Below are 9,923 nucleotides of genomic sequence, written 5' to 3' on the forward strand. Positions count from 1 at the left end.
ATGTGGGCAGGGAACAGGGTAGACACAGGGGGCCCCGGGGAGAGGCAGCCACCTCTCCAGGCTTGGACCAGGCTAGAGGCAGTGGAGGCCATGAGACATGGTAGAATTTGAGATGTGCTTTGAAGGTAGAACCAACAGGATTTGCAAATGGGTTGGATTGGGAGGGAGAGGAGGTCAGAGAAAGGGGTCGGAAGTGACTCTCAGGTGTGGCCGAGGAAGGGGAAGGCTGCAGCTGCTGTACAGGAAGGGCAGCGAGGAAGTGAATAAATGAATGACCTGGGCTTGGGAACCAGTGGCTCACACTCAGCTCTGGAGCTCATTGGGACCTTGAGTGAGTTCCCTCCACTCTGCCTTAGTTTCCCCATCTGCAGGGGAGGAGCTCCATGTCCAGGGTGGCCAAGAGGACTAGTGCTCCGGGATCCACAACCACGTGGGTGAGAGGATGGGCCCAGCCTCCCACCTGCTCTGCCGTCTCCCCACTCCCCACGACTCCCGTCTGCTAGCCCAGCAGCCCGCCCAGGCCAGGCCTGCAGCTGCAGTTGAAATCGGAGGGGAAGAGCATGGACGAGAGGCAGCAGGGGCATCCGTCTCCCACAAGGCTGGGTCTGGCCAGGTGGGAGGGCAGCCTTGAGGTCTAGAAAGCTTACGTGGGGTGCCCTCACTAAAGGCGAGAGGGCACCATGAGCCAGGGGTGGGTGGAGAGCTAGGGCACCCCTGCTGCCTTCACTCCCGGGGGTCCTCCCGTGCCCCTGCCTCCAGGCTCTGGGGTTTGGAGGGTCAGACAGAGCCCTGGAGCTCCAGCCCAGCTGTGTGTTCACTGTGGGCCTTGAGGAGGTTCCCTGGCCTGTCTGGTACCAAGTTCTCATCTACTTCACAGAACCCAGGGGAGATTAAATGGAATAATGTATCTGGCACATGGCAGGGGCTTGAAAAATTGGGAGATGGGCTCAGACCCCTGCCGGAGGGAGGCAGTCATTACGCCAGCCATTGTGTGTTCTCCTCACAAATCCAGACCCCAGGAACTCAGGTTCCCAGCCAGGGGGCCGGGCGGGGGTGGCGTCCATACAGGAGAAGGGCGAGAGGCTTGTCCCTCTTCTCAGCAGGTGCCTGCCAGGCCTTGGGAAAGCCCTCCAGCGCCCTTCCTTGACCTCTGGGATCTGACACCTGGGAAGAATTCAGAGGCAGGGAGATCACTGGAGCCTTCTGTATGTCATAACTAAACATAATGAGGCTCACTGCAGGGCAGGAACCAGTCAGGGCAGCAAGAGACCCTGAGTCTGCAAGTTCCCAGCTCTGGGGGCTCATGCCACATCTCCATCCCTCACCATGACTTCTGGTGCCAGGTGCAGTGCCCACTGCCTGTAAGCCCAACTACTTGGGAGGCTGAGGCAGGAGGATCACTTGAGCTCAGGAGTTTAAGACCAGCCTGGGCAACAAAGCGATAATCTGTCTCAAAAAAAAGAAAAGAAAAAGCCTTCTCTGTTCAATTCAATGCAACATTTCTCAGGCCCCTGATAGTACTGGAGACACAGAAATGACTCAGATACAACCTCTAGGGAACTCATAGTTGCTGCCTACCTACTCTATGCCGGGGACTTGGCTGGGTGCCTCGTCTCCACTGTACCATTTAATATTCACAACATCCTTCATCACCATTCCCATTTTCCAGATGAGGAATATTGAGGCTCAGTGAGATCACATAGCAGCTAACATTTCCTAAGATTTGCTACATTTGGGGGCCCTACGTGCATGAAAGCATTAATTTCCACATCACTCCTAGAAGAGGAATATGATTACAGTTCCATTTTACTGATGAGAAAATTAAGGCCATGGGAGGCGGAGGTTGCAGTAAGCCAATATTGCGTCAAAAAAGAAAGAGAGAAAGGAAGGAAGGAAGGAAGGAAGGAAGGAAGGAGGGAGGGAGGGAGGGAGGGAGGGAGGGAGGGAGGGAAGGAAGGAAAATTAAGGCCAAACTGATAAAAGGGCAGAGATGGGATTTGAACCCAGGGTCCTGTAGCATTAAAGCCCAGGCCCTTTACCTGTTCTCTACATCAAAGTGGACTCAAGAGTTCTTGTTCTAATAAGCCACTGGCCCTGGTGGGTGCTGTCACCAACTTCCAGCTGCTTCTTTACCTGCTTTGGGGCCCATGGGCCTAGCCTCGTTCTCTGTTTTTTTTGAGACAGAGTCTCCCTCTGTCACCCAGGCTGGAGTGCAGTGGCATGATCACAGCTCACTGCAGCCTCTAACTCCTGAGCTGAAGTGATCCTCCTGCCTCAGCCTTCTGAGTAGCTGGGACTACGGGTGCGTGCCAACATGCCTGAGTTTTTTAAAATTTTGCATACAGACGGGGTCTCACCATGTCCCCAGGCTGGTAGGCCTGGCTTTGACATGAGTGAGCAGGGTGGCCTCAAGCACATTCCTTAGCCACCATCCTCAAATGACAGCAGAGCCTTTTCCAGTTTGCCAAGAAGTGGAGTTTTAGAGCCCATTTTCCAGAAAAGGAAACTGAGACTGAGAGAGGCCAGGCAGGCTACTTGCCCGTGGTCATGTGGGAATTAAACAGTTGAGTTAGGACCCCATAGGCCCTGGCCCCCTCACTTCAAGTTCAGAGCCTTTTCTCCCAGGACCTTCCCGCCCCATGCTTGGCTTTGGGCTTTGTTATAGGACCATAGCAAGAGGCGGGTAGGGGGTGGCAGTGGGAAGCTGGAACAAGGAGATGCCTTGGCTGCAGTCATGGGGACGGGGGTATGGCACCACCTCTTATGGCCACCTCTTGGCTTCAGCCAGCTGCTGAGACTCCGGGGATGGCAGGGGCCAGGGCAGCAGCTCAGGTGACTTGGTGATGATGGAGGACATCCCAACAGCACCACACTGGCAGACAGACAGGGTGAGTCCAATCCAGATCTCACATGAGTGCAAGCACACGCAGTCACACCCGCAGCTGCCAAGGCCCACAGCCCAGGTGCTCACATAGATGCCGACAAACACGCAGAGGAGCCTCTCCACCTGTGCCCTGCACACACTCCACGCACACACACACAAGCATTTCCAGCCTGCACATAGATAGGAACAGCACACTCACACCCACACAGTTGCACTTTTACACACACACACATGCACGCACATGCGTGTTCTAGCCCGTGAGCACACACATGTTCAGGATTCAGTCGCACAACCTCTGAGCTAAGATCTGGCTTGAAGAAGCCCAGGTATGCCTGAGGCCCTCCACTTGGTCCCCAGACACCCCCAGCCACAGGCTCCCCACCCCCCAATCCTCCCAGCAGCATTTCTGAGGTCCCAGATGGGCCTTCCAGCCTCCCAGACGTGCAGGGACGACAAAGCAGCCTGCAGGGGCCATAAAGCAGAGGGTTTTCCTACCAGCTCCTACCCAGGGAAGAAGGGTGCACGGTGTCCCCACCCCTCAGCAGACAGTGACCCAGGACTTAGAGGGGAGGCCCCAGGAAGGCAGAGCCTGACCTGTCTGCATCACCCTGGCACCGAAATGCAGCCCCCCAGAGTTACCCAGGACCATGCCACCCAAATCACAACGTGTAACTGACAAAAACGCACGCTCTGCCACTCACAAAAAATGCAAATGGAGCCTGTGCCAGGCATCACTGTCAACCTTCTTCCAAAAGCCCCCCCAGGACCCAGGACAACAGAGGCATCCTCCCTCCTCCCCACCCCACACCCATCTTCATGAGCCCTAGGAAAGCCCACAGACTTTATGTTGTGCCAGTCCTGCCTCAGGCAGCAGCCTGTGAATACAGACCTCTTGACCAGAGGGATGCTTTGAAACTAATTCAGACTAAAGTGTAATGGACTGAAAGCTTGACATGAAGGACCTGTGCTTTCAAATTGGATCAGGTTGCAAGACCCTTCAAAGTCAGAATGGAGATGTATGCAAGGCCCTGGCATTGGTGTGGACTAGGGGAAGTTCTGAACCTCCCTAAGCCTCAGTTTACTCATGTGAAGGTAGCAGTAATCACAGCACTGGCCTCTAGGCTGCTGTGAGAATTCCACAAGCTGATGCGTATCAGCGCCTCAGCCCAGTGACAGGCACACAGTAGGTGACCCCCGAAACAGCCGCTATACTGATAATTCAGAGAAAACCAGGAAATATTGAGGGACTCAACCAAAGGTCACAGCACATATTACGCGGTGCTAAGTCAGAGGCCATTTCCCGCCCAGACCAGCGGCCGCAGGTGCCAAAGGTTTACACAAAAGCTCTGGGGAGAAAGACTTAGGCCTCAAAATGCTTTCCACTAAATGAACGTTGTTGCAAACTGGGAAAAGACCACCATTAGTCAATTTGGGTAGTGGAACACCTGGGGTCCAGCTTGCAAAAGCCTGGTTTTGAGAGTGGAGTTTGGCAATCTCGAAGTTTCCCTTGGGGAATGGGGCTCTAACGGTGGGATTCCTGGCATGTGGCAGGTCCACGGAGAAGCTACAGCAGTGCACAGAGAACCCTGTTCCAGTCCTGGCTCTCAACAAATGGAAACTTCCTCTCTCTAGGCCTCAGTTTTCCCATCTGGAAGATGGTACAGTTGGGCTGAGAACCTCTATCTCTCCACGGAGACTTGGGGCTCTCTGATCCTAGGAACTGACAGACAGCCCAGGGCCCCACCTCAGCCGTAACCTGTGGCCCTCGCAGGCTCTGGGGACGGCTCCACGCGCTCCACTCAGAGAGGCCAGAGGAAAAGGAAAGGGGTTGTTTTACTTTGTGGCCAATGCCGGAACGGAATTGGAGGGTCTTGTCTCCAAGGGGTTTGCTTCCCCCGCTTGGCAGCCCACAGGCCTGGAGCAGGCCAAACGTAAGAAATAATAAATCCTCACCAGGCTTCACCCGGCCAGGAGGCCCCCAGCTGGCTCTTGTCATAAAGAGATCTTATCCCCACCAGCACCCCTAGCTGCCCGTGGAGGACTCCGCCCTCCTCTCCTCCATACCCTGCTTCCACCTTCTACTTCCTGTGACAACCTGCAAACTGGAGGCCAACTTGCCTCTCCCCCACGCCCAGGCTTCTCCTCGACCCCCGCCCTGCCCCACCCCCACTTGGGCCCCAGCTGCAGGAGGCCCTGTGGAGTGTAATTCCCCTCGCCCTCTCTCTGCCCTGGGCCCGTCCGGACAGATTAAGCCTTTGTCACACACACCCAGAAAAGCTCAGGGCCAGATGGGACAGGACAAGTGGTGTCAGATCATCGACCCGAGGCTGGCCGGGACTAGGAGAGGGCCCTGACCACAGCACCGCATATGGCTGTGGGAGGAGGAAGGGAGGCCCAGGGTGGGGGCAGCCAGAGAGCAATGGGGAAGAGAGGTGACACACCATGGCCACCCTGGGGACAGAGGCTATATGGGGCCTGTCTGCTGGATGACCCAACTCCCACCTCCCTTCTTCCTTGGAATCTTTCTACCTGCTCTCTCTTGAAGCCCCCATGGGCTTCTTTATCCTGTCCTCAGCTATGCCCACCACCCCCGACAGCTGGGTGACCTGGGAGCAGGCACACAGCCCCACCCACCCGAGCACCCCAGTGCCCGCACAAGGACTGTGGGTACTAAACAAATGCTTTTGACAAAGGTTTATGGCCCAATGACCTTCACAAAAACCCACCGAGGACCAAACTACAGGCTCTCTCCCAAATGACACCAGGGGTGAGGGGGTGTGTGTGTGTGTGTGTGTAGGCCAGGGAGACGTCCTTTGCACCTTTCAAAGGAGGTCCCATTCAGCCCCTCCCAGGAAGAGGCCAATGGCTGCCCCAGAATTCCCAGCAGGATTTGTTCCTCTTGGATCAGTGAAAAGGAAAATGGAAATATAAAAATAATAACTGGGCCCCAGGAAAGAACTTGGAGATGGGGGTGGCATCTCCTGCCTGGCTCCGGCTGGCTGGGCGAGTGGCAGGTAACTGACGGGCTCTCGGGACCAGCAGGCCAGGCAGGCGGGCGTGGGGAGCCCGAGGGGCGGGCTGTCGAGGGAGGGCACGTCTGTTGTGTTTGTCGATCTCCTGGCAGCCTGGACTGGGAGGCCTGGGTCCCCTTTCTCTGCCTCCCAGGCAGGTGGTCCCTTGGGGAGGGCTCATTATTGGTCTGAGAGCCAGGGTGGAGACTGGGGACGGTCGCGCTGCCAGGGGCAGGCAGAGCGGGTCAGCGTGGGTCTCAAGGAGCATCTGAAGCCAGCAGCTGGGCCGGCAGGACCTGGGGTCCAGGCCCAGCACCCAGTTTCTGCATGTGGCCTGGATAGGGGGAGGGGGTGCTCAGCCTCTACAGCTGTGTGGATAAAGAGTGGACGACTGCTCCAGATGCCCACTCCCTAGGGAGAAGTCGAGCCACACAGAAAGCCAGTGAGCCAGCTGCCAGGTCTGGGGGGTCACCCCCCAACTCCAGGAGAGGGTGGACTCAGGGCTCCTGCCTCAGACTAAGAAGGTTGGGCCAAGGCTTCCAGCTCTTCAGGGAGGTGTAACCAGGATGGGGGGGTGGGGTGGGGCACCGACCCGGGAAGCCCTGATGGCAGAGGGCACTGACCTAGGGTAGGGGGCAAGACCCAGCCAACCATCTCGTGGGTCACTGACCTCAGAAAAACCGCCCTCCGGCGGGGGGCAGTGACCCAAGATGGGAGAACCGAGGAGGGGACCGACCTGGCAGGGTGGGGAGGGCTGACCCATACTCCCCATCTGGGAAAGTGGCACTGATTTGGGCTGGGGGAGGGGTCCTGGACTCGATCGGGGGAGGGGACAATGACCCAGACTCGCCGGGTTTGAGCGAGAGTGCTGATTTAGGCTGGGAGGGTCCCAGCCTTGCGCGGGCTGGGTCACTGCCCCAGCTTCCCCCTCGGGGAGCCCGGTCCCGGCGCGCCCCTCTGCCCGGCCCCCTGTTCCCGGTCCGGCCGGAGGCGGCAGCGGCGCAGATGGGCTGCTGGCGGCCGCAGCGCGGTTATCAGCGCTCCTCGCAGATGGGCCGCCCGCCCTCCGCGCTCGCGGCTCCCACTCCCCGCGGCCTGCAGCCCCGTCCCCTGGGCGCGGGGGGAGGCGCCTCCGGATCTGCTCCCCGGCTCCCGCCTCCCTCCCTCGCGGCCCCCTCACCCCGCGGGCCCGGCCCGGGCGGCCGCGGAGGGGGAGGGGGAGGGGACAAGTGCACTTTTCGTAACGACCGAATCAATTGTGTGTGAAGAGCCCGCTCCGGCCGGGGACGGGGCTGAGCGCGGGGCGGGCGGGCCGGCCGGGGGAGGAGCGCGGAGGGGGGAGCGGGGGAGCGGGGGAGGGAGGGAGGCCGGCGCGGGGCGGCCCGGCTCTCGCGCTCCGGCCGGGGAGGGAGCAAGGAGGGCGGGGGGAGGCCGGCGCGGCCCGACCGGGCCGGGGGCGGAACGCACTAATGGAGGGTCTCGGCGACGGAAAGTTCAAAGCTCAGCAGCGCCCCGGGAGCGGCCGCCCCCCCCCCAGCCCCCACCCTCTGCAGAACAATGAGGTCCCGGCGGGGGAGCCGCGGGGCCCGCGCCGCACGCCCTCTCCAGGGCGCCCCGGGCCAGAGGGGACGCCCCCGCCCGGCCGCCCGCCTCCTCCCTTTAGGCGGCTGCGGTTCCCCGCCCCCTCCCCCACGCCACCCCGCCCGGACCGGGCCGGCCCGGGGGACGGGGGAGGGGAGGGGATGGATAGGTCAGGCCTCCCCCGTCCCATGAAGGGGGAACGAGGGGCCCGGGGGGCTGAGGGGGCGCCCCACCCACCCGCGGGAGGCTGCTCCTGCGCCAGGCTGCGGCTCCGGCCGCCCCTCCCCGGGCCAGCCCCGGGTGGGGTCGGGGCGACAGTGCCCGGGCGGGCCCCCTCCCCTGGCGCTGGGAGGCCCGGCGGACTCCCCGTCCCGCGGCTGCCCCTGCCTCCCTCCCCCCCCCCCACCCCGCGGCACCACCCTCCGCGCGCGCACACACACACACACACACACACACACACACACACACCGCCCAGCCGGCCCGGGGGCGGGAGCGCGAGGCGCCCGGGACAGGCAGCCCCGGGGCGGGCGGGGGGAGGCTCGGGCTCCAGAGCAGCCGCCTGCTGGCGGGGGGAGGGGACAAGAGGACGGAACATGCTGGGGTGAGCAGCCCGGGACAGCCTGCCCGGCACGGCCACGGCCCGGGCAGCGGCGCGGAGGGGGGCAGGGACGCCCCGAACCCGGAGCGCTGCCCAGGCGAGCCGGGAAGGGCCGGTGAGCAGGGACGCGTGCGCCTCCGGCGGGCCCGACACACGGACAACCTCAGGGACACACGTTCGGACACACATCCACACCCCCACCCCGCCCCCGCCCGCCTGCCCCAAGCCCCGCGGCGGGACCCGCCCGCGGCCGCCGCGCGCGCACTCACCGAGCCCGTCTTGACCGGCACATACACCACTTGGCCCATCTTGGGTTCCCGGCCGCTGCCCAGGCGGAAGCCCTTGGAGCGCACCCAGAACTGGAACTTGCCTTTCTCGCCGGCTGCGGGGCCGCTGCCCGCGCCAGTCCCGCCGCCGCCCTGCAGGACCTCGGCGATCCGCTGGTATTTGCTGCGTGTCACCGTCTTGGTTTTGGCCGAGTCGCCGTAGGTGCGCAAGCACCAGTCCCGGAACTGGCGGCCCAGCTCCGAGTCCCCGGGGCTGCGCTCGCGCTCCCAGCCCCCGCGCAGCAGCAGCGTCGGCTTCGGCATCCTCCCGCCGCGCCCGGCGCCCTCGGGGGCGGGCCGGCCGCCGGGCCGCCCGGTGCCGGGACTGGGCTGGGCTGGGCTGGACCGGGCCGGGACGCGCCGCGGCCGCGTCTGTCCCGCGGTGTGGCTCCGGCGAGGCTGCTGGATGGGCGCGGGCGGCGGCCGGACGCGCGGGGCTGCGGCGCGCTCTGTCCTGCTCGGGCGGCGGCGGCGGCGTTGGCGGCGGCGGCTCCGGCTCGCCTCCTGCTCCGCCTCCTCCTCCCCCCGGCCGGGATGCAGGAGCGATGGAGGCAGCTCCGGGCCCGGAGGTGCAGAGGGGGCGGGCCGCCCCGCGGGCGGCCGGGGGAGGCGGGAGGCGGGGAGCGGCCCCGAGCGCTGGGAGCGAGACCGAGCCTGGGCGCGGGCGGCAGCAGTGGCTGTCAGCTTGCGCGGCTCATCCTGCTCTTGCTCAGGCTCCCGCTGCCGCGGCTCTTCCTCCTCCTCCTCCTCCTCCTCCCGCGCCCGCCTCCACCACGCCGCGGGATCCCACCTGTTAGAGCGGCGCAGCCTTCGCCGCCGCCCGCCCCCCCCTTCCTCCTGCGCCCGCCCGCCGGGCCCAGCCCCCGCCCGGCCCGGCCCCTGGGGGCGCGGGGGCAGCCGCGCCCGCAGCCGCCGGGAGGGCAGGAACCACAGGCGCGCAGTGCCCAGCCCAGGAACCGCGTTCCGTCTGGCCGGGCCGGGCCCGGAGCTTCGCAGGCCCCGCTCCTCCCGGACGCGGCGGTCCCGCGGGGAGTAGGGCGCAGACCCCAGCCCAGACGCCGACCTCCCGGCCGCCCCGCCCCACTTAGCCAGGCCGGGAAGGTGTAGGGCAGGCTCCCCCTCCCTCGCTCCCGCAAGTGACTTGACCTCTCCCGTGAGCCGAAGCCAGAAGAGCAGTGTTCCCCTGGGGGAACCCCACATCGCCGCCCTTCGGGGCCCCCAAACTTCCTCTCCTTTTGCCTCACCCTGAATTCCCCGAAGTTTGGCCAGCTTTGCCTCTGCTTGCCTGCCCCACTGCTCTGGGACAGGCCCAGGCCCCCTGGGAAGTCGCCTGTGGCCTCAGCCCAATCCCACCTCCGCTTCAGAAAACTCTCAACACATCCACAAACTCATCCTGAGACACCCTGCCTTCCTGAGTGCGCCTTGACCTAGAATCTCTTGCTGAGTAAACTCAGGTAGCCCCACCGCCCCCCTCCTACCTGGGCAGATCTGACCTTGGGTAGAGCTAGCTGGTCCCCTCCCCC

The 9,923-nt window shown here is 63.2% G+C and overlaps 1 protein-coding gene across 1 annotated transcript in view, besides 12 other annotated features; it reads right to left on the bottom strand.

The window, feature by feature from the left end:
• Window positions 1-9,107, bottom strand: part of NOL4L (nucleolar protein 4 like) — a 142,275-nt gene extending 133,168 nt beyond the window's left edge. The window contains exon 1 of the mRNA NM_001256798.2: window positions 8,344-9,107. Within this exon, the coding sequence (NP_001243727.1) occupies window positions 8,344-8,664 (321 nt within the window). The 5' untranslated portion in view covers window positions 8,665-9,107. The remainder of the gene's footprint in view (window positions 1-8,343) is intronic.
• Window positions 297-1,250: an enhancer, noted in NCBI's record as "H3K4me1 hESC enhancer chr20:31164325-31165278 (GRCh37/hg19 assembly coordinates)". NCBI's record gives its function as "activates a minimal SCP1, AML or CMV promoter by ChIP-STARR-seq in primed H9 embryonic stem cells {active_cell/tissue: H9 hESC(primed)}" and the evidence as "EXISTENCE:reporter gene assay evidence [ECO:0000049][PMID:30033119]".
• Window positions 4,219-4,918: an enhancer, noted in NCBI's record as "H3K4me1 hESC enhancer chr20:31168247-31168946 (GRCh37/hg19 assembly coordinates)". NCBI's record gives its function as "activates a minimal SCP1, AML or CMV promoter by ChIP-STARR-seq in naive H9 embryonic stem cells {active_cell/tissue: H9 hESC(naive)}" and the evidence as "EXISTENCE:reporter gene assay evidence [ECO:0000049][PMID:30033119]".
• Window positions 7,020-7,229: a silencer, noted in NCBI's record as "silent region_12793". NCBI's record gives its function as "represses an Ori minimal core promoter by ATAC-STARR-seq in GM12878 lymphoblastoid cells {active_cell/tissue: GM12878}" and the evidence as "EXISTENCE:reporter gene assay evidence [ECO:0000049][PMID:35858748]".
• Window positions 7,400-7,619: a silencer, noted in NCBI's record as "silent region_12794". NCBI's record gives its function as "represses an Ori minimal core promoter by ATAC-STARR-seq in GM12878 lymphoblastoid cells {active_cell/tissue: GM12878}" and the evidence as "EXISTENCE:reporter gene assay evidence [ECO:0000049][PMID:35858748]".
• Window positions 7,730-7,779: a silencer, noted in NCBI's record as "silent region_12795". NCBI's record gives its function as "represses an Ori minimal core promoter by ATAC-STARR-seq in GM12878 lymphoblastoid cells {active_cell/tissue: GM12878}" and the evidence as "EXISTENCE:reporter gene assay evidence [ECO:0000049][PMID:35858748]".
• Window positions 7,840-8,049: a silencer, noted in NCBI's record as "silent region_12796". NCBI's record gives its function as "represses an Ori minimal core promoter by ATAC-STARR-seq in GM12878 lymphoblastoid cells {active_cell/tissue: GM12878}" and the evidence as "EXISTENCE:reporter gene assay evidence [ECO:0000049][PMID:35858748]".
• Window positions 8,080-8,279: a silencer, noted in NCBI's record as "silent region_12797". NCBI's record gives its function as "represses an Ori minimal core promoter by ATAC-STARR-seq in GM12878 lymphoblastoid cells {active_cell/tissue: GM12878}" and the evidence as "EXISTENCE:reporter gene assay evidence [ECO:0000049][PMID:35858748]".
• Window positions 8,620-8,669: a silencer, noted in NCBI's record as "silent region_12798". NCBI's record gives its function as "represses an Ori minimal core promoter by ATAC-STARR-seq in GM12878 lymphoblastoid cells {active_cell/tissue: GM12878}" and the evidence as "EXISTENCE:reporter gene assay evidence [ECO:0000049][PMID:35858748]".
• Window positions 8,810-8,969: a silencer, noted in NCBI's record as "silent region_12799". NCBI's record gives its function as "represses an Ori minimal core promoter by ATAC-STARR-seq in GM12878 lymphoblastoid cells {active_cell/tissue: GM12878}" and the evidence as "EXISTENCE:reporter gene assay evidence [ECO:0000049][PMID:35858748]".
• Window positions 9,030-9,079: a silencer, noted in NCBI's record as "silent region_12800". NCBI's record gives its function as "represses an Ori minimal core promoter by ATAC-STARR-seq in GM12878 lymphoblastoid cells {active_cell/tissue: GM12878}" and the evidence as "EXISTENCE:reporter gene assay evidence [ECO:0000049][PMID:35858748]".
• Window positions 9,300-9,489: a silencer, noted in NCBI's record as "silent region_12801". NCBI's record gives its function as "represses an Ori minimal core promoter by ATAC-STARR-seq in GM12878 lymphoblastoid cells {active_cell/tissue: GM12878}" and the evidence as "EXISTENCE:reporter gene assay evidence [ECO:0000049][PMID:35858748]".
• Window positions 9,680-9,759: an enhancer, noted in NCBI's record as "active region_17718". NCBI's record gives its function as "activates an Ori minimal core promoter by ATAC-STARR-seq in GM12878 lymphoblastoid cells {active_cell/tissue: GM12878}" and the evidence as "EXISTENCE:reporter gene assay evidence [ECO:0000049][PMID:35858748]".

The sequence above is a fragment of the Homo sapiens genome, chromosome 20 (genome assembly GCF_000001405.40).
Source record: "Homo sapiens chromosome 20, GRCh38.p14 Primary Assembly".
NCBI lineage: Eukaryota > Metazoa > Chordata > Mammalia > Primates > Hominidae > Homo > Homo sapiens.